At 40.1% G+C, this 18,476-nt stretch overlaps 1 protein-coding gene across 1 annotated transcript in view; it reads left to right on the top strand.

Moving 5' to 3' along the window:
* The window catches only part of BRINP1 (BMP/retinoic acid inducible neural specific 1), a 202,807-nt gene that overhangs the window by 51,507 nt on the left and 132,824 nt on the right, over positions 1 to 18,476 (top strand). Inside the window, exon 2 of the mRNA NM_014618.3 lies at positions 4,524 to 4,791. Coding sequence (NP_055433.2) covers positions 4,574 to 4,791 — 218 coding nt within the window. The 5' untranslated portion in view covers positions 4,524 to 4,573. The remainder of the gene's footprint in view (positions 1 to 4,523; positions 4,792 to 18,476) is intronic.

Raw genomic sequence — 18,476 nt, 5'->3', positions numbered from 1 at the left:
AGTGTAGGATAGCAGTGTGTCTCAGAAAACAATGTATATGCCTTTATTAAAAACACTTTATTACTAAAAAAAGGCTAATGATCATCTGAAGTTTCAGTGAGTTAAAATCTTTTTGCTGGTGGAAGGTCTTGCCTCAATGTTGTTGGCTTCTGACTGATCAGGGTGGTCAGGTTGCTGAAGACTGGGTGGCAGTGGCAATTTCTTAAGTTAGACAACAATGAGGTTTGCCACATCAATTGACTCTTTCTTTCATGAAATAATTTTGTAGAATGTGATGCCGTTTGATAGTATTTTACGTAAGGTAGAACTGTTTTCACAACCAGAGTCAGTACTCTCAAATCTTGCCACTGTTTTATCAACTAAGTTTACGTAGTATTCTAAATCCTTTGTTGTCGTTTCAACAGTGTTCATAGCATCTTCATCAAGAGTAGACTCCATCTTGAGAAACTGCTTTCTTTGCTCATCCATAAGGAGCAACTCGTCATCCGTTCAAGTTTTATCATGAAATTGCAGCAATTCAGTCATATCCTCAGGCTCTACTTCTAATTCTAGTTATCTTGCTATTTCTGTCACATCTACAGTGATTTACTCCACTGAAGTCTTGAACCCCTCATGATCATTCATGAGGTTTGAAATCAACTTCTTCCAAACTCCTGTTACCGTTGATATTTTGACTTCTTCCCATGAATCACAAATGTTCTTAATGGCATCTAGAATGGTGACTCTTTTCCAGAAGTTTTCCAATGTGCAATGCCCAGATCCATCAGAGGAATCCCTTTTTATGGCAGCTATAGCAGTATAAAATGTATTTCTTTTTTCTTTATTTTATTTTATTTTTTGAGATGGAATGTCACTCTGTCACCAGGCTGGAGTGCAGTGGTGCGATCTTGGTTCCCGGCGACCTCCGCCTCCCGGGTTCAAGCGATTCTCCTGGCTCAGCCTCCCAAGTAGCTGGGACTACAGGTGCGCACCACCATGCCCAGCTAATTTTTGTATTTTTAGTAGAGGCGGGGTTTCATCATATTGGCCAGGATAGTCTCGATCTCTTGACCTCATGAAATGTATTTCTCAATAAGACTTGAAAGTCAAAATCATGCCTTGATCTATGGGCTGCAGAATAGATGTTGTTTCAGCAGGCATGAAAACACCATTAATCTCCTTGTATATCTCTGTCAGAGCCCTTATGTGACTAGATGCATTGTCAGTGAGCAATAATATTGAAAGGAATCTTTTTTTCTGCACAGTAGTTCTGGATAATGGCCTTAAAATATTCAGTAAACTATGTTGTAAACAAATGTGCTGTCATCCAGGCTTTAGATCACAAGCAGAGTAGATTTAGCATACTCTTAAGGGCCCTAGGATTTTTGGAATGGTAGGTGAGCATTTGGCGTCAACTTAAAGTCACCTGCTGCATTAGCCCCTAACGAGAGACAGTCTGTCCTTTGAAGCTTTGAAGTCAGGCACTGACTTCTCTCTAGCTATGAAAATCATCGACATCTTCAGATATAAAGCTATTTTGTATACATTGAAAATAGGTTGTTGGCCGGGCACGGTGGCTCACGCCTGTAATCCCAGCACTTTGGGAGGCTGAGGCGGGCAGATCACTTGAGGTCAGGAGTTCAAGACCAGCCTGGCCAACATGGCGAAACCCTGTTTCTACTAAATATACAAAAAATGAGATGGGCATGGTGGCGTGCACCTGTAATCTCAGCTACTGGGGAAGCTGAGGCATAAGAATTGCTTGAACCCGGGAGGTGGAGGTTGCAGTGAGTCAAGATTGCACCACCGCACTCCAGGCTAGGCGACAGAGCAAGACCCTGTCTCCAAAACAAGAAAGAAAATAGATTGTTTAGGGTAGCCATCTTCATCAATAATTGAAGCTCGATCTTCTGGATAACTTGCTGCACCTTCTCCATCAGCATTAGCTTCTTCACCTTGTACTTTCATGTTACAGAGATGGCTTCTTTCTTTAAACCTCAGGAAGCAACCTCTGCTGGCTTCAGACTTTTCTTCTGCAGCATTCTCATCTCTCTCATCCTTCATGGAATTGGAGAGAGTTAGAACCTTACTCTGAATTAGGCTTTGGCTTAAGGGAATGTTGTGACTGTTTTGACCTGCTACCCAGACCTCTAAAACTCTCTTCATTCAACACTAGGCTGTTTTGCTTTCTTATCATTCATGTGTTCACTGGAACAGCACATTTAATTTCCTTAAAGGACTTTTCCTTCACATTCACAATGTGGCTAACTGGTGCAAGAGCCCTAGCTTCCAGCCTATCTTGCCTTTTGCCATGCCTTCTAGCTTTTGATTTAAAGTGAGAGATGTAGGACTCCTCCTTTCACTTAAACAATTATAGGTCATTGTAGGTTTACTAATTGGCTTAATTTCGGTGTTATTATTTCTCGGGGAGTAGGCAGGCCTGAGGAAAGGGAGAGAAAGGGAATAGCTAGTCAGTGGAGCAGTCAGAAAACACAGGTTTATCGATAAAGTTTGCCATCTTATATGGGTCCAGTTCATGGTGCACCCAAATAATTACAATAATAACATCAAAGTTTGCTTACCACAGACCACCATAACAGATACAATAATAATAAAAAAGTGTGAAATATTTTGATAATTATCAAAATGTGACACCAAGACACAAAGTGAGCACACATTGTTGGAAAATTGGTGTTAACAGACTGGCTAGGCTGAGGGCTGCCACAAGCCTTCGATTTGTTAAAACTTTAATATTTGCAAATCTCAATAAAGTGAAGTACAATAAAATGAAGTATGCCTGTAAGCATAATACAAGGTGATAAGGGCTAAAATGCAGTTACAGAAAATGAGCAACTATAGCTCAGAGGAGTAAACAAATAACGCTTTTTTAAATTAATAAAAAAAGAAAATGACCTCTGAGGACATGATCTCAGCTGGCTATTGAAGGATTTAAACAGGGTTTGGCCAGGCAGTGGGGATCAGGTGAACAAAAACACTGTCATAGGGAATAAGTTGACATCAGTATCGACATTCATCATCATTATCCTCATCATGATACGTGACATTTATTGAGCACTTACTGTATGCCAGGCACAAGAGGGAGCAATTATGTCGTTTAATTGTCATCTTGGTTCTGAGTGTAGGTGCTATTATTAACCACATTTTGCAGATAAGGAAACTGAATGTCAGGAAAGTTAAATACATGACCTGAAATATTACTGTTTCTAACAGATACAAAGTGGATTTAAAGCTGCCTTTCAATATGGAGTAAGAGAAGCTCTGTTAGAATAAGTAGGGTGGGGTCACATACAGTTAAGCGAGTAAGTAGACTGACAAGGAGGGCGGATCATGAGGTCAGGAGTTCGAGACCAGCCTGGCCAACATAGTGAAATCCAATCTCTATGAAAAATACAAAAATCAGCTGGGTGTGGTGGCACGTGACTGTAGTCCCAGCTACTTGAGGGGCTGAGGCAGAAGAATCACTTGAACCCTGGAGGCGGAGGTTGTAGTGAGCTGAGATTGTGCCATTGCCCTCCAGCCTGGGTGAGAGAGTGAGACTCCGTCTCAAACAAAACAAAACTAAACAAAAAGTGTAAATTGTGTTTACAAAATTGGCATGGCCTTGTGATTTCTGGTCTATCCTCTCCACAAGGTACCTCTCTACCAAAGCTACCCCTTAGGCTTAAGCATTTCACCCTCGCAGCACCACTGTGCCATAAGACCCCCTAATAAAAGAAGCATGCGAGACCCCCTGACAAAATGACCGCCTTCAGTTTTCCTTTTGAACCCTGGGCAACCTTTGAGGCTGAGTCACCAAAAGACAAATTCTCTGGCCATGTTTCTTTGGGTTTGGGAGACATTCCATTGAACGTTGCAGAAGTGAACTGTAAGCAAGCTCCATGAACTCTTCGTCTCTAAAGTATTCAACCTAGATAGTCATGATAATCCATCACAAGACTTTGTGCATTCATCTGTTCATGCAAAAGCAAAATGTGTGCTCAGTGGATACATGCCTGCTGAGAGAAGGAAAAGGAACTCTTGTTTATTGATACCTCTTTATGAGAGGCAGGTTGTTAGTGAAGACAGAAGAGGGTACACTCACTTGAATTGTGTCCCTATGTCTCTTACTGGGTGTATGAGACTCTGTTTCTGCATTAATTCATTTATTCATTTTTTCAACACATCTTCCTTGAGCATCCATGATGTGCCAAGTGCCAAGATACAGGCTCGTAAGCTCACCCTCAGTTTTACTTCCAAGAAAACTGCATCCATAATAGACCAAACAGTTTGTACATGTTCAGACAATATGTGAACAGCAAAATGGGAACATGGGCCCAGATTTCCATAGATTCTATGTTTTTAACCAGAACTGTACTGGGTTTTATAAACTTTAAAGCACTCTACTGATATAAGGTATTATTATGAAGATGTGTTAATCACATTTTTTCTTTTCCTGTGTCTTTTTCTTTTACTCCTCTTCCCCTCTCCTCTCTCTCTTTTGGTTTCTCTTTTTTTCTCTCTCTTTTTTATTCTTTCTTCTATAGGACTCCACAGAATGGAGCAAGAATGAGAGGAAAAAGGCCGGCAGAAAAGCATGAACTGGAGGTTTGTTGAGCTCCTCTACTTCCTGTTTATATGGGGCCGTATCTCAGTGCAGCCCTCCCACCAGGAACCAGCTGGGACAGACCAACATGTCTCCAAGGAATTTGATTGGCTCATTTCAGACAGGGGGCCTTTCCACCACTCCAGGAGCTACCTATCCTTTGTGGAAAGACACCGTCAAGGATTTACAACCAGATATAAAATATACAGGTAAGACCTGGGCTAAATAGCCCTTGCCTTACATTCATATTATGCTTTGTGGAGTCAGGCGTTGATTGGTGCAAACCTTGCTGTGTGCAGAAGTGTCTGGGTCAAGGGTCTGTGCTCCTTCCACAAGCTGTTTTTGATTAATTTTTTTTTTCTTTGCACAAGAGATTAACAATGACAAGGAGAGGATCAAATAATTAATATTTATTGAGTACTTATTTATATGCTGGGCAGGGGGCTTAATACGTATTATATATTATCTCATTTAAACATTCTAATAGCCATCAGATATAGGTTTTGATTGTTTTTCCCACTTTACAAATTAGGTCATCAAGCCTCAGCTAGGTTGAGTTACTTGTCTAATGTCATATAGTTAGAAGTGGTTGGACTGGGATTCAGAATCTGGTTTATCTGGTATATCATAATTTTAGTCAGCCACATCAAGTATAAGTAACGTTGTTTTGAGAATGCTGCTGATGTACCCAATATCCTACCCAAATACATTCAAACATTTGGAAAAATAAAGAAACCTTTTGTTAAGCAGGTCTGTACTGGTTCTTGGACCGTTGACATTCTACTCATCCAAAAAAAGACTTAGCCCAAATTCTTTCCTCTTTGGAACCATCTTAGAGTTTTCACATTCCACTTAACAACCATATCTTTGATAGATCCACAGCTCTCTACACTAACACCTCTTTAATTTAAAATCATTTGGAATCAGAGTGCATTCTTGTATATTTTTCTCACCTAACTGGAAACTCTTTGAGGGAATGACCTATACAGAATTCATTTCTAGATCCTCCCCAGAGTGATTTTTGCTCTGCCTTGTTATCATAAACACACAGTGAATGTTGTGGACTTAAATGAATAAGAGAATGCAAAAAACTCTCTCAGGTGTAGTTAGGTGTGGTCTTAGGAGGATAACTAGTTATAATATCACATGGTGGTGTCTGTAATGCAGTTTTATAAAGGGAACTCTGGTCCATGTTAGATAATCCATATGTGTTGGTTATTGCTGTTGAAATAAGACATATCCTGAATGGAACCACAGATTCAGAATATTCAACAGTAGCATCCTTTTAGTGAGCACTTATCATGTGCCATGAAGGGAGGATGTTCAATCCTCATAACCTCCTCTATGAGATGGGCAGTGTCTTCTACAGATGGGAAAATCAGGAATTTGGAGGTTGAGTGTGTTACTTTAAGTCATCCATCCAGTAAGGAGTGGAGCTAGGGTCTACACACTGATTTACCTGACCCCAGTGCTTTCCTTCCAAGCATTCTGTTGGATGCCTCCCCTGGTATAGCTTCCAAATGTGGAGTGTTGCAAGCTCTAAGAAACTTTTTCCAAACATTTTTCGTTACAATCATTTGTAAACATCTGGGGGGTTGTTTTAGACATGTTGAGAAGTAAAAGGTTGCCAATGAGGATGGGGGATTAAGACCTCTAGATACTGATTTCAGTTCTTCACGCACTGGTCTTGTGACATTAGGTAAGCTCCTTCATCTTTTGCATTCTGCTGTCCTAATTTATCAAATGATAGGGCTGAGGTAGATCAGCAGTTTTCAACCTATGTTATTCAAAAACCTAAGGATTGATTAAAGTAGCCATAGAAACCATTGTGGGGAGTGTAGCAAAGAGGTGACCAGGCAGGATTCTGAGCCCTACACCTCCCTTATACTAGAGAAGGCTTGTATCTGCTTTTGTGTTAAGATTTCATGTATGATTTACTTTGGATTCTACTCCTAAAACAAAGTTTGCAATCATCCAATAAGTTGATTTCTAAGATATCTGTCTAGCTCCAAAATTACATTTAAGATTTAGCCAAAGTCAAATTGTTAATTAAATGACAGAGTTCAACCCAGAAGTTAGGCCCCTGGTCATCTAGTTATTCCTTCCTTCTTTTATTTAATCCTCAAATAATTATTAAGCACCAGCTACAGACTCAACACTATGTTTAGGGCAGATGATACAATGAAGAGTAAAATAAATATAGTAGTTGCTGTCATAGGAGAGACTGACAGTAATTAAACACATGCACATTTCAAGGTATAACAAGTGCTATAAAGAGAAATGTGCAGGATGTGTATAACTGGGAAATCATAAATACCACAAACATTGATTTGGCACCAACAATGTACAAGGATTAGGCGGAACTCTTGTCATAATGTGCATATGAACCCATATGCAAATATGCACCCAGAGACATGCGCTCATCCAGATGCTCATCAGAGCAACAGCCAACTAGGACATGCTCACTGGGGCAATTGTGAATTGATACTTTTTCCTTCCTGTATGCCACTTTGTTGAAACATTGACGTTTCAGCAAAGCATGTCCATAGGCAGTTTCCATTGTGCCTGTCTTCCTGTATGCTAGCATGGACACGGCACGTTACAAACTTGACATTTTCATCATAAAAAAAGAAAGGCCTGACTATCCTAGTGCACATTTTTTGATGCTAGAGGGCCAGCTTTACTGATCTGCCCAGACCTCAAGCTTCCACCAGTTCCCTCCTCCCCAGAATCCTGGCTGGAACCCAGGGTGATTGGGAAGCTTCAGAAAGAAACTGGGAAGAAGCTTTCTCTCCTTATTTAACTAGGTTAAGGCCATCTTCTTTCTCCTGCATTTGTACACAGAGGCTGGCTTCTGCTCATAGAGTCATGGTCAAGTCATTGCTAGTGACAACAATGAGAACCTTTTTAATTAAAACCCAGCAGAAGCCTCTTCTCATGTTGCTTTACAAGCCAAGCAACAGTGTGTGCACATGCAGTCTTTTGAGGGCATGACGTAAATGCTCTGTCACTCACAAACTTGAGTTGCCACCTGAAGGCTTGGGGGAGTTTTCTGCTCTTGAATCTGCCAGGGTGCAGTGGGAGAACTTTTGACCTCGGAGTCAGGGAACTCGGGTGCTGACCCAGCTCCCCTGTCTCCTGATTGTGTGATTTTGGTCAACTAACAGAACTTCTTTGAACCTTTGGTTCTTCATCTGTAAAATAGGAGTGCTAGCTGAAGTCATCTCCAAGGTCCTTCTTATCTCTGAAATTCCATGATTCTGTGAAATAGTGTCATTTGGAAACACAGCATGTGGTAGTGGAAAGGATTTTGGGTCTGGAGTCTAGAGATTTAGGTTTTGTTCATTCTGGAGCCTCTTTCCAGCTTTCTCATCCTGGGAAAATTCATGTATGCAGCACTCACTCACTCATACATTTATTGTTTTAGAATTTAACACCAATCATTATCCATAAATTGTACTACTGTTCGCTAACATAGAGATGACCAAAAAAACCCAATAGATTACAAACATATATCCTCCTATCCCCACATAACCCACGCCCCCTCCTCCACCCAGCTCAGAGTTAGGAGTGAAGGACAGAGGGCATAAAAAGTGAATAATGAAACAATGATCTTTTCATGGATAGAAATGACCGCTCAGATATTCAATTTCCCCCTCTGTAGAAAGGGATAATGATGTCTGCCCTACCTACTAGGTCAATGAGATACAGTTTGTGTGAAAGTGCCTTGTAAAATGTAAGTTATCTTATGCTTGAATTTTTTTCATTAGAGTTTTAAATCATCATTCTAACAAAGTAACTTATTTTCACTTTCTGTTAAGACTATACATATATTAGTCATTAACTCCTCATAGCCACACTCTGAAGGGAAATACTATTATTGTCCCATATCACAAATGAGAAAGGCACTAAGAGCCCATTGTTCATATTACACAACTGGAAAGTGGCACAGCTGGGATTCAAAAGCTGGTCTGTGGGACTTCCGAACATGGGCCCTTAACTCTATGCTGTCACAACTCTCCCTGGTTCTTAGTTACCTGATTTATTACCAAATGCTAACAGGCTTCCTTTGACCATGGGCAAGTTTCAACCGCTCTGAGACTCAGTTTTCCCCTCTGTGAAACTGAGATGATATTAAATGCCTTATGCAAGTGGGATGAGCAATAACTTAGATTTCAAATATATAGAGTTTAGAATTTTCCAGGAGCTTCACAAAGGCATGTCGGAATGGTGGTTCCCTCTTCCACTTCAGATGTTGGTTGTTTACTAGGAATTATTCTTTTATTCTCATGGTAATTTCAAAGTCAGTTAGTCCAAAGATTTTTCCTGTGTTTCCAATACCTTTTTGTGTTTTATTTTCTGTTTTTTTTTTTCCTAACTGTGAGATCATCAGTAGCTGCTGTAAATTTAGCAATTATTTCAAAGATGGTTTTAATAGAATAATTATGGTACTCTTTGGATCTGAAGAGTCAGGGCAAAGGGGAGATTCTGGGAATGGTGGTCACTGTGTCACAAGAGGCGGTTCCATATTGAGTGGTTTTCCCTGCTGGTTGCAGAACAAGTGGTTTGTGGCTTACGTTGCATCTCCCTTTGAGCTGTAAATATATACCTGAAAGTTGAGTGTAAATCAAATCTTGGTAAGCCAAGTCTAATTGCCTGGCTGTATTGCATATTTATTTCAGAGTTGTATAGATCTCAGCCCTCCTCTGTTGTCCTGATAATTTCTTCGTGTGTTTCACAAAAATAATAGGTTTTGTGGTAAAGCTACTTGGCTAAATGGATGGTGCTGGGGATGGATGAATGGTTCTACTAAGATGAATGAGATGTGGTCTTTATACAGCAGTCATTCAAGAGTATAGATTAGGCATCTCGATATGCCAGATATTGTACATGGGGAGTTTATCTTGTGATGAACAGGATTCCTGCCCTCAAGGAGCTTACAGACAAGTGGAGTTTAGAGAGAAGCCCACCCTTGCCCCACTCCAGGGGCTTGTGTTTGAACTTGAAAGAAGCCTTCAGCTTTTGATTCCAGGTATAATCTTGATATCATGCAGTAAAAGAGCTAGATTTCTATTAGTGTGGCATAAAGTAGTCGAAATCAGCATTTCTTAATGTATGTTACAGAGAACTCTAGTTCAATGTAATATTAAAAGATGTTTTCTGGAAAAAAAGAACACCCATTTATTTTTCCATGATGACTCTCATAGTCAAAGAAGCAATAATCATCACAACAGTGATAAGTTAATTGCTAATATTGAAATCTTAAGTGATTAGCATTGTACTTTATCTGGTATAGAAATTATTCCAACTGATGCTTACAATAATCCTGTGCAGTAGGTATTGCTATTATCTCTCCATTTGCACAGCTTGTACGTAGTGAAAGGGTTAATTTGTGATACAGCAGGACCTGTCATAGGCATGTGTGATTCTAGAGGCTGCATCCTTGACCTTGCCCAGCTGCCTCCCAAATGATATAGACCTGCACATGGAAAACCCAAAGTTACACAGGACTTCTTACCGCAGACCTTTATTAATATTAGACTATGTAACAGTATTTGGCCCTATCTTTTTAACCGTACAACCTCTTTTTCTTAGAGGAATTGAAATTCTGGTGAGCAGACTCAGGGAATTGTGGGCTCTGCTTAAATTTGACAGCTTGCGTATTGCTTCTTTGGATTCCAGCCTACGTCAGAGCACACTAAAAGGGATACCTCTTCGTTTTGAGTAACTGGTTAACTGGCTGAGGAAGGCAATCTTCTTGTTAAGCTTTTGCTTTGAGTTATTGGTCTAAATCTACCTCCTGGTTTGTGATGGAAAAAAATTATCAGCTTCAGTTTTCTCATCACAAACCTTTTGTTCTTCTTTCCCCTTTTCATTTCAAATTCCCAAGTTTGGCATTCCCCCTGTGGTATAGATATACAAACCTCAATAGAGGGCAGAACCACAGTTGAGTTCGGTACAATTTTGATCCAATATGCAAATAAGTGGCTGGATATTAGAATTACCTGCAGAGTTAAAAATACTAATGCTTGGATCTTTCTCCAGGTATTTAGATTTAACTGGTCTAGGAGAGACAGGAGCTAAAAAAAATTATTGTCAGTCAGGGATAATTTTGCTTCCTACGGGGACACTTAGCAATTGTATTTGGGGAGATTCTTGGTGTCCAACTGGTGGTGGTGTTTGTTGGGGGTGCTTCTGGCATCTCGTGGGTAGCAAGCAGGGATCTGGGATGCCGCTAAATACCTTACAATGCATAGGATAGCCTTCTCCAGCAAACAGTTATCCAACATACTTTCAGTTGTGTAGAGGTTGAGAAATCCTGCTCTAGCATTTCTGGGGAAGAAGAAAAAAAAAGAGTGGTGGGAAGAATATTTGAATAAATGGTCTTAGATTTTGGTCTTCATGAGTTTGAATTGGGATGGCTTAAATATAGGTACCACTGTAATGACTGGATTCCTAGAGTGTATGTCCATAGAATAAAATGGGGAAAGAATCATCCATGTTTTTGACATGGCCACAGACCAGGATGGCAGTTCAATGCATGAAGAGAGGTGGATCCATTTTTGCTTTCTCTAGCATAGAGGGAGTGGTTAAGGCAAACTAGCTCTCCAGTCAAAAAAAGAAAATTCTCCCTTCTGGGAATTCTAGTGCCTTTTGACTCTGACTACAGTATTCCTTAGGAAGTAAGATATTCAGCCTCCATTGTTAGGTCCAGATATACATGGATTGTGTCATTAAAAACCGGCTTAGACCAAGTGTGTTAAAAGACACTTTTTCTTCCCTTCAGAACATTCCTTGTTGACTCAAAAGATGAGAATGGGATGATGGCCCATATTCATGTTTGTCAATTTCAGCCATTTAAAGGCTGACAGCATTGGTGAGAGGCATGAACCTGTACCTCCCCTTACCCTCCAGCCCACATACATCCCTCGCTTAATCCAAATTTTTTATCAAGGTCTCCCTGAATAGATAAAAGTGGAGGAGGATATCCAGCAAACATTTTTCTGGGCCATCTGGTGCCAATTCAAAGATAATCTTTAGTGTTGATTATTTAAAATTGATCTTCCAATTCTAAAAATGATAGCTTTATTGCTACCAAATTGGTACGTTTACAGTGTTTTACCTCTTTGCTCCCATGCCATTACTGAACTGACTTCTGTGAGTTACAAACCATAGTCAGCTACAATTTCTACAGAACAATTGTCCAGCTTTTGTCACGAGCAGTGTCTGAAAATGGACCTACTTGCCCACCCACTCTTATGGACAGACTGATACAGAGTCTTTAAACTGATCTAAAGATAGCGATTGTTATGATTCGGTAGATTAGGAGGAGAAATGGAGAAAAGCCCTTAGGGCTTCAAATACTGTGCTCCAAATCTTGGCCAAGGAAGAAAGAGAGACTGGATCTGTGATCTGGGGCACCTGCAGCTTACTCACTCATTTGAAAAAATGTTTACTGATCTCTAAACTCCTACTAGTCAGGCCCTGCACTGTTTCCTGGGGATAGAGGGAAGAAATCATTGATCCCTTCCCTCAAGGAATTCATGGTCTCTTTGGGGGAGACTGACTGAAAGGCAAATAACCACAGTGTCATGTGCCTTGAGAGATGCCACTGAAGCTCTGTGGGTGTAGGGAATGGGAACTTACATTGCATTGAGGTGGCAAAGTTGGGGAAGGAGAGGAGGAAGAGGCATGTTTGGAAAGGCATGCTGGAGGAAGAGGTGTTGAACATAGGCTTCAAGGAGGATTAGGATTCATGAGAATGCAGTGAGGAGAGAAGCACCTTATCAAGTGGAATAGCACCTGTGAAGTCAGGAAACAGGAGAAAGCCTGGAACTATACGTCTTCATGTGTTTTGTGTGTATTTTGAGTAGTACTGATAGTAGGGCATAAGGTTGGAGAGCAGCTTCAAGCCAACAACAAAAGAAATTTGAGATAGCACATGGATTTCAACCAATCTTTAAAGTCTAGTGAATTGGCAGAATATTACTAGATAGCCATTTAGAACAGTGTTTTTTCTTTGTTGTTGTTTTTGTACATTTTTGACCTGAATACATGTGAACAAATACATTTTAGTTTGACACTCACTCAATAAACCTAGCTGGAAATATAGATAAAAATATATGATTGAAATAAAAATCCATGAAAAAAAACTTAACCTTACTACATGTGATGCTTCTTAAATATCAAGATATCTTCTATTCTATTCCATTCAAATATAATGTGTTCCTTTACAATTCATTTATTTTTTAAAATGCTGATGCACTAACATGGTCGTGTTTTGGTTCAGAGGAAAATTGTACCATGTGTGATTAGCAGAGTTTGCAATGGGTTTGTGTTAATCAGGTTAGAACCTGTGCCTTGGCTGATGGGGGCAAAAAGAAAACAATGAGGGCTTTGAAACATGAAGCTGACATGCACGGATATAAAGTTAGAATTGCTTGGGCAGCAGCCTGAGGAGTGGGAGAAAGGGAGAAAGAGAGATGGGTTAGAAAACTGTGGCAGTAATTTAAGGGAGAGAAAGGGAGTGCTGGAACTAAGACAAAGGCAGCGGAGAAGGGTTTCATTAACCCTCAAATACCAATCAGTGCCACCAACAGCTGCAGGCTGCAGACCTACTGGTCAGGCAGCCTTTTCCCGTGCAGCATCCAGGCTTACAGACTCCAATTCCATTTTCAGCACCCTGTGGCAGGATGCATTCTTTTATGTAGAGTTCTACAGCTACTGGATACCTTTGTATGTCTAATAAAAGGAACCAGAATGCTCAGGCTTCTGCCTCTGGGCAATTTCTTTATCTCTCAAGGCCTTCCTCCTGGGCACAAGAATTACTGGGTCTCATTAGCTATGGATTCCCAGACTGGCTTGGAGGAAGGCTTTGCATCCCACCCTTTATCTATACCTGACTCTTCCCCGCTCACCTTGATGGAAGCTTCCAGCCTCAAGTTAGTGTGTAACCTTTTGTGAACCATACAATGGTCGCTATAGGTTAGCAAGTCTTTAGACTCAGGCAGACCTTAATTTGAATCCTGGTTCTGCCACTTACTACCTGTGAAATCTTAGGCACGTTGCTTAAACCATGTGAGCCTCAATTTCTCCATCTGCAAAATAAGGATAAATTCCAAGATTATAGTGAAGATTTAAGAAGAGAATATAAGACAGCCTTTAGCAGCCGGGCGCAGTGGCTCATATCTGTAATCCCAGCACTTTGGGAGGCCAAGGTGGGCAGATCACTTGAGGTCAGGAGTTTGAGACCGGACTGGCCAACATGGTGAAACTTCATCTCTACTAAAATTACAAAAATTAGGCAGGCACGGTGGTGGGCGCCTGTAATCCCAGCTACTTGGGAGGCTGAGACAGGACAATCCCTTGAATCGAGGAGGCAGAGGTTGCAGTGAGCCGAGATCATGCCACTGCACTCCAGCCTGGGTGATAGAGTGAGACTCTGTCTCAAAATTAAAAAAAAAAAAAAAAGAAAAAAAGAGATAGTCTTTAGCATAGAGCAAATGTTTGAGGACTAGTAGCTAAAACAAATACCTGAAGTATCCACCCCTGCAAATCCAGCAGCAGGGACTCTGAGATGTCTTACTGGACTTCCAACAACTGCAGTGGGGATGATTGGTTGGTGTGCTTTGTAGCGTAGGTACTCTATGAAGGTAGCATTTGCTCCATTCTTATACTAGGAAGACGCTTTTTAGGAGGAAGCTAAAGAAAGAGCGCCAGAGACAGAAAGATTTTTGATGCCCTGAGGAACACGTGCCACCATACTGGCAAGGTCTCTTTAAGCTATCAGCATACATTGATTCATGTACACAGTGCACTTGCACGTCCCACGATTCGCGAGAGTCTAATTTATTAATCAGCCCAGGTGATAGGAACAGTCTGTGACATCTCGTCTTCTAGTTCCTACTGCACCGTGCTCGCCAGGTTGTCTTTGATGTGTAATGCTCAGGGGACATTTGTCCCTCAGGGATTGCTTCTCACCCAAGAACATCCATGGCAATCAGCAGCATTTCAAGGCAGGCTGTGTGTGTGTGTGTGTGTGTGTGTGTGTGTGTCTGTGTGTGTGTGGTGGGGGTGGGGGGTGTAGGTAACTTTGCTTTTCCTCAAATTGCAGGTTTATTGTTCAGAGAAAGTCAGCAAGGTACAGCTTCCGTCGCTGAGCACTTGTGACAGCCTCTCTGCGACTCTAGCATGACACCCAGCTCACCTAGTTCTACATCACATTCATGGGGGAGTGTGCTTTGTATGAGAAAGAAGTAGGTAAATACAAATGATATGAAAGAAATAAGTCTCCCTGCTGGTAAACAGTTTGAGATAAAAGTGCTCACCTGTGCATTAATTCAACAAATATTTATTGAGTCTCTACTAATGTGTATGCACTCTGTTAGCCTCTGATGACACCAAGGGATTATTCATCTCTGCCTTTCAGGAGCACTTGTAGGGTAGTGGGGGAGAGATATGCTAAAAGCAGCCAAATCGACCCCTAGTATGAGGAGTGTTGAAAAAAAAATATAAAATGGAGTAATAGTGCAAAAAAAGGGCATTGAGCCGGTCTTGCAAGATTAAGGAAATATTCCAAGAAAATATTTTAAGTAGGTTTGTGTGTGTGTTTTGAAGTAGGGTTTAGAGGAGGGGATACTTGTTCTTGAGCTTGCAAGTAATTCACCATAAGTAATGGACACAGAAGATGTTAGCATGCACGCCAGAAAATTCAATAGTGAGGTCAGGTCATGAAGCTCTGTACATGTTATATAAAAGACTTCAGACTTTATTCTAAGGTGATGGATCCTACACTTTCTCATTTCAAGATGTTCTTAAGGTTTCAATGATTTTTTTTTATGATTCCCATAGGCCCCCCCAAAAATACCAATAACACTATTTAATAAGTAGTTAGATCCAAACAATTTAATAATGAAGTATTTCTGTTGTGACAAATTTAGTGGCTATTTGAAAAAAACAATACATGAAAATCTAAACAAAAGGCAATATTTTCATTTTATTCTTAATCACATTTACTACTTCTCTAACTTTACAGTTAGATAAAATCATCCTCATTTTCTCTTCCTTATTAATTTTTTGCAGTACTTTGAAATTGTACCAAGTGCCAGAAACCCAGCTTCACACACATACTAACATTGAAAGGAATGTATTGTGTTCTAATGTTGAAACTGTGAACGACCTCAAGTTAGATGTTCTTGTGATGCCCAATAAATATCAAGCATCCTTCGTTTGCCTTGAACACTTAAAATATCCTGCTGTGCACCTGTGAGTTTGCTGTGGCAGTGCATGGCTTCTCAGCCACAATTTGTGAACTACATCCTAATGACAATAGGGATTTCTAGGAGTTTTGCCCAGAGGTAGAGCATGATCAGGTTGTCATCTTACAAAGATCACTTCTGTTATAATTGAAAGAATAGATTAATGGGTGAAAGATGGGAGACGGTGCAAAGTATGTCATCCAGGTGAGAGAGGAAACTGTCTTGGAATAAAGTAGCATCAGTTGATGTTTGAGATACATATTTATTTAAGTTATAATTTTGAAATAATTATGGACTCCCAAGAAGTTGCTACGATAGTACAGAAAGGTCTTATGTACCCTTTACCTAGTTCTCATCAATGGTTACATCTTATGTGACTGTAGTACAATATCAAAACCAAGAGACAGACATGGGTATAATATACACAGAGTGTGTATAGTTCTATGCCATTTTACCATATGTGTGGATTCATGTAACCACCACTGCGATCAAGAGACAGAACAGCTCCCTCACCACAAAGATGTTTCTTATGCTAGCCCTTTACAGTCAAACCTCTCTCTCATCCTCTACCATCCATAACCCCTAACCTTTGACAACCACTAATTTGTTTGTTCTTCATCTCTGTGATTTTATTCTTTCAAAATATTATGTAAATGGTCATAACCTGAGATACTTTAAGGAAAGACAGAAGACTCAGTATTTGGTGAGTGTTTGAATATGAAAGTTGACAAGGAAGAAATAGTCAAGAGGCAAGGAGACTGGCAAAACCATACCTTAAGTAATAAATCCACTGGGTCTAGGTTAAGTAAGGAAAAGAGAAGGGGAACATTTTTAACTTGGTCAGCTGGGTGGGTGATGGTGCTTTTCATTAATATGGGGAGCCCTGGAAGACAAGGAGACTTTTTGAGGTTATCCATGTTTGAAGATGATAAGCCAGCTTTGAAAATGTTGAATTTAAACTACCTGGAACATTCAAATAGAGACTTAGTAGGTGGTTGTATAAATGGTTCTGACCCTTAGCAGAGAGAGCTGGGATAAAAAGTTACAGTATTTGGAGTTATCAGGTTACCAATGATAACACTTGGAGCTATGCTCACTCACAAAGGAACCTGTTTAGTAGGTGCCGAGTAAAGCATTGAGAAATTGAGGAATGGCTGGTGGTACAGCGGGAAAATCAGGGATGGCTGGTACCATGGAAGCAAAAATAAATGAATCTTTTAAGAAAGAAGGTGTAGGTAATCAATAGCTGTAGTTTCTGATATAGCACATAAGGCAAGAACTGAAAATAGTCTTTTATAAAGTCTTGACCTTGGCAAGAGCTGTTTAAGCAAAGGGTTAGGGATATAAGCCAGAGTGTAGTGAGTTGAGAAGTGAGAAAAAGGGAGTAGAGATTTTATTATTTTTTCTTTTTTAAAAAAGAAGCATGGCTATGAAAAGAAGCAGAGATGTGAAATGAAGTTTTATTTATGTTCATTGGCTTTAAGAAGGAGGGGACTATTAAGAGAGGGAAGAGACTGACACTGTGGGACACAGTGGGGTTATTATTTTTTATTTTTTAATTTTTTGTTCTTAATTCTTGTGTGTACATAGTCGTGTATATACTTATGGGTTACATGAGATATTTTGATACAGGTATGCAATGCATAGTAATCACATCAGGGTAAATGGGGTATCCATCACCTCCAGCATTTATCGTTTGTGTTTCAAAGAGTTTAGTTATACTATTTTTGTTATTTTTACATGTACAATTAAATTATTTTTTACTATAGTCACTTTGTGTTAGCAAATACTAAGTCTTTTTAAAATTTTTTCTATTTTTTGTACCCATTAGCCATCAGAACAGGGTTATTTTTGATGAAGCCATTCCTGAAGTAGCAGGAAGGGAAAGAGTAAGAACACAAGTAGGGGTAAAAGGAGAGATACCTTTTGTTGAAATAGGAGGAAAGAAGGGAAGGAGAGGTGTGGGTGCAGATAAATCTATTGATTTCACTTGTGAAGATTTGAAGGCTTCTGTTCTCTTTGTGAAGTGGGGTGTGAAACGAATCACTGAGGAAGGCGGTACTGTGGAGTGTCAAAAGTTTTGATAGTGTCTGGGGAAACTTGGAAATCTAAAGAATTTTAGAAGAATGTGATTAAGGAAATACAGAAGGATCATTAAGAAACAACTCTTGGATAAGGTTGGTGATCACCAATTTATAATGGCTGTAATGCAGTTGGGATATCTGCATTTCCATATTCAGGGAAATATTTTTCGCAATAGCCAAGATATGGAGTCAACTTGAGTCCATCAGTGGACATATGGATAAAGGAAATGTGGTATACATACATGATGGAATACTATTCAGTCTTCAAAAAGAAGGAAATCTTGTCATTTGCAACAACATGGATGAACCTGGAGGACATTATGTTAAGTGAAATGAACCAGGCACCGAAAGACATATAACCACATGTACTCACTTTTTTTTTTTTTTTTTTTGAGACGGAGTCTCGCCGTGTCACCCATGCTCGAGTGCAATGGTGCAGTCTCGGCTCACTGCAACCTCCGCCTCCCAGGTTCAAGTGATTCTCCTGCCTCAGCCTTCCTAGTAGCTGGGATTACAGGCATGTGCCACCACACCAGGCTAATTTTGTATTTT

This window comes from Homo sapiens, chromosome 9 (genome assembly GCF_000001405.40).
Source record: "Homo sapiens chromosome 9, GRCh38.p14 Primary Assembly".
Classification (NCBI taxonomy): Eukaryota; Metazoa; Chordata; class Mammalia; order Primates; family Hominidae; genus Homo; species Homo sapiens.
The sequence above is the reverse complement of the archived record's forward strand: the minus strand, read 5'-3'. Positions and strand labels throughout refer to the sequence as shown.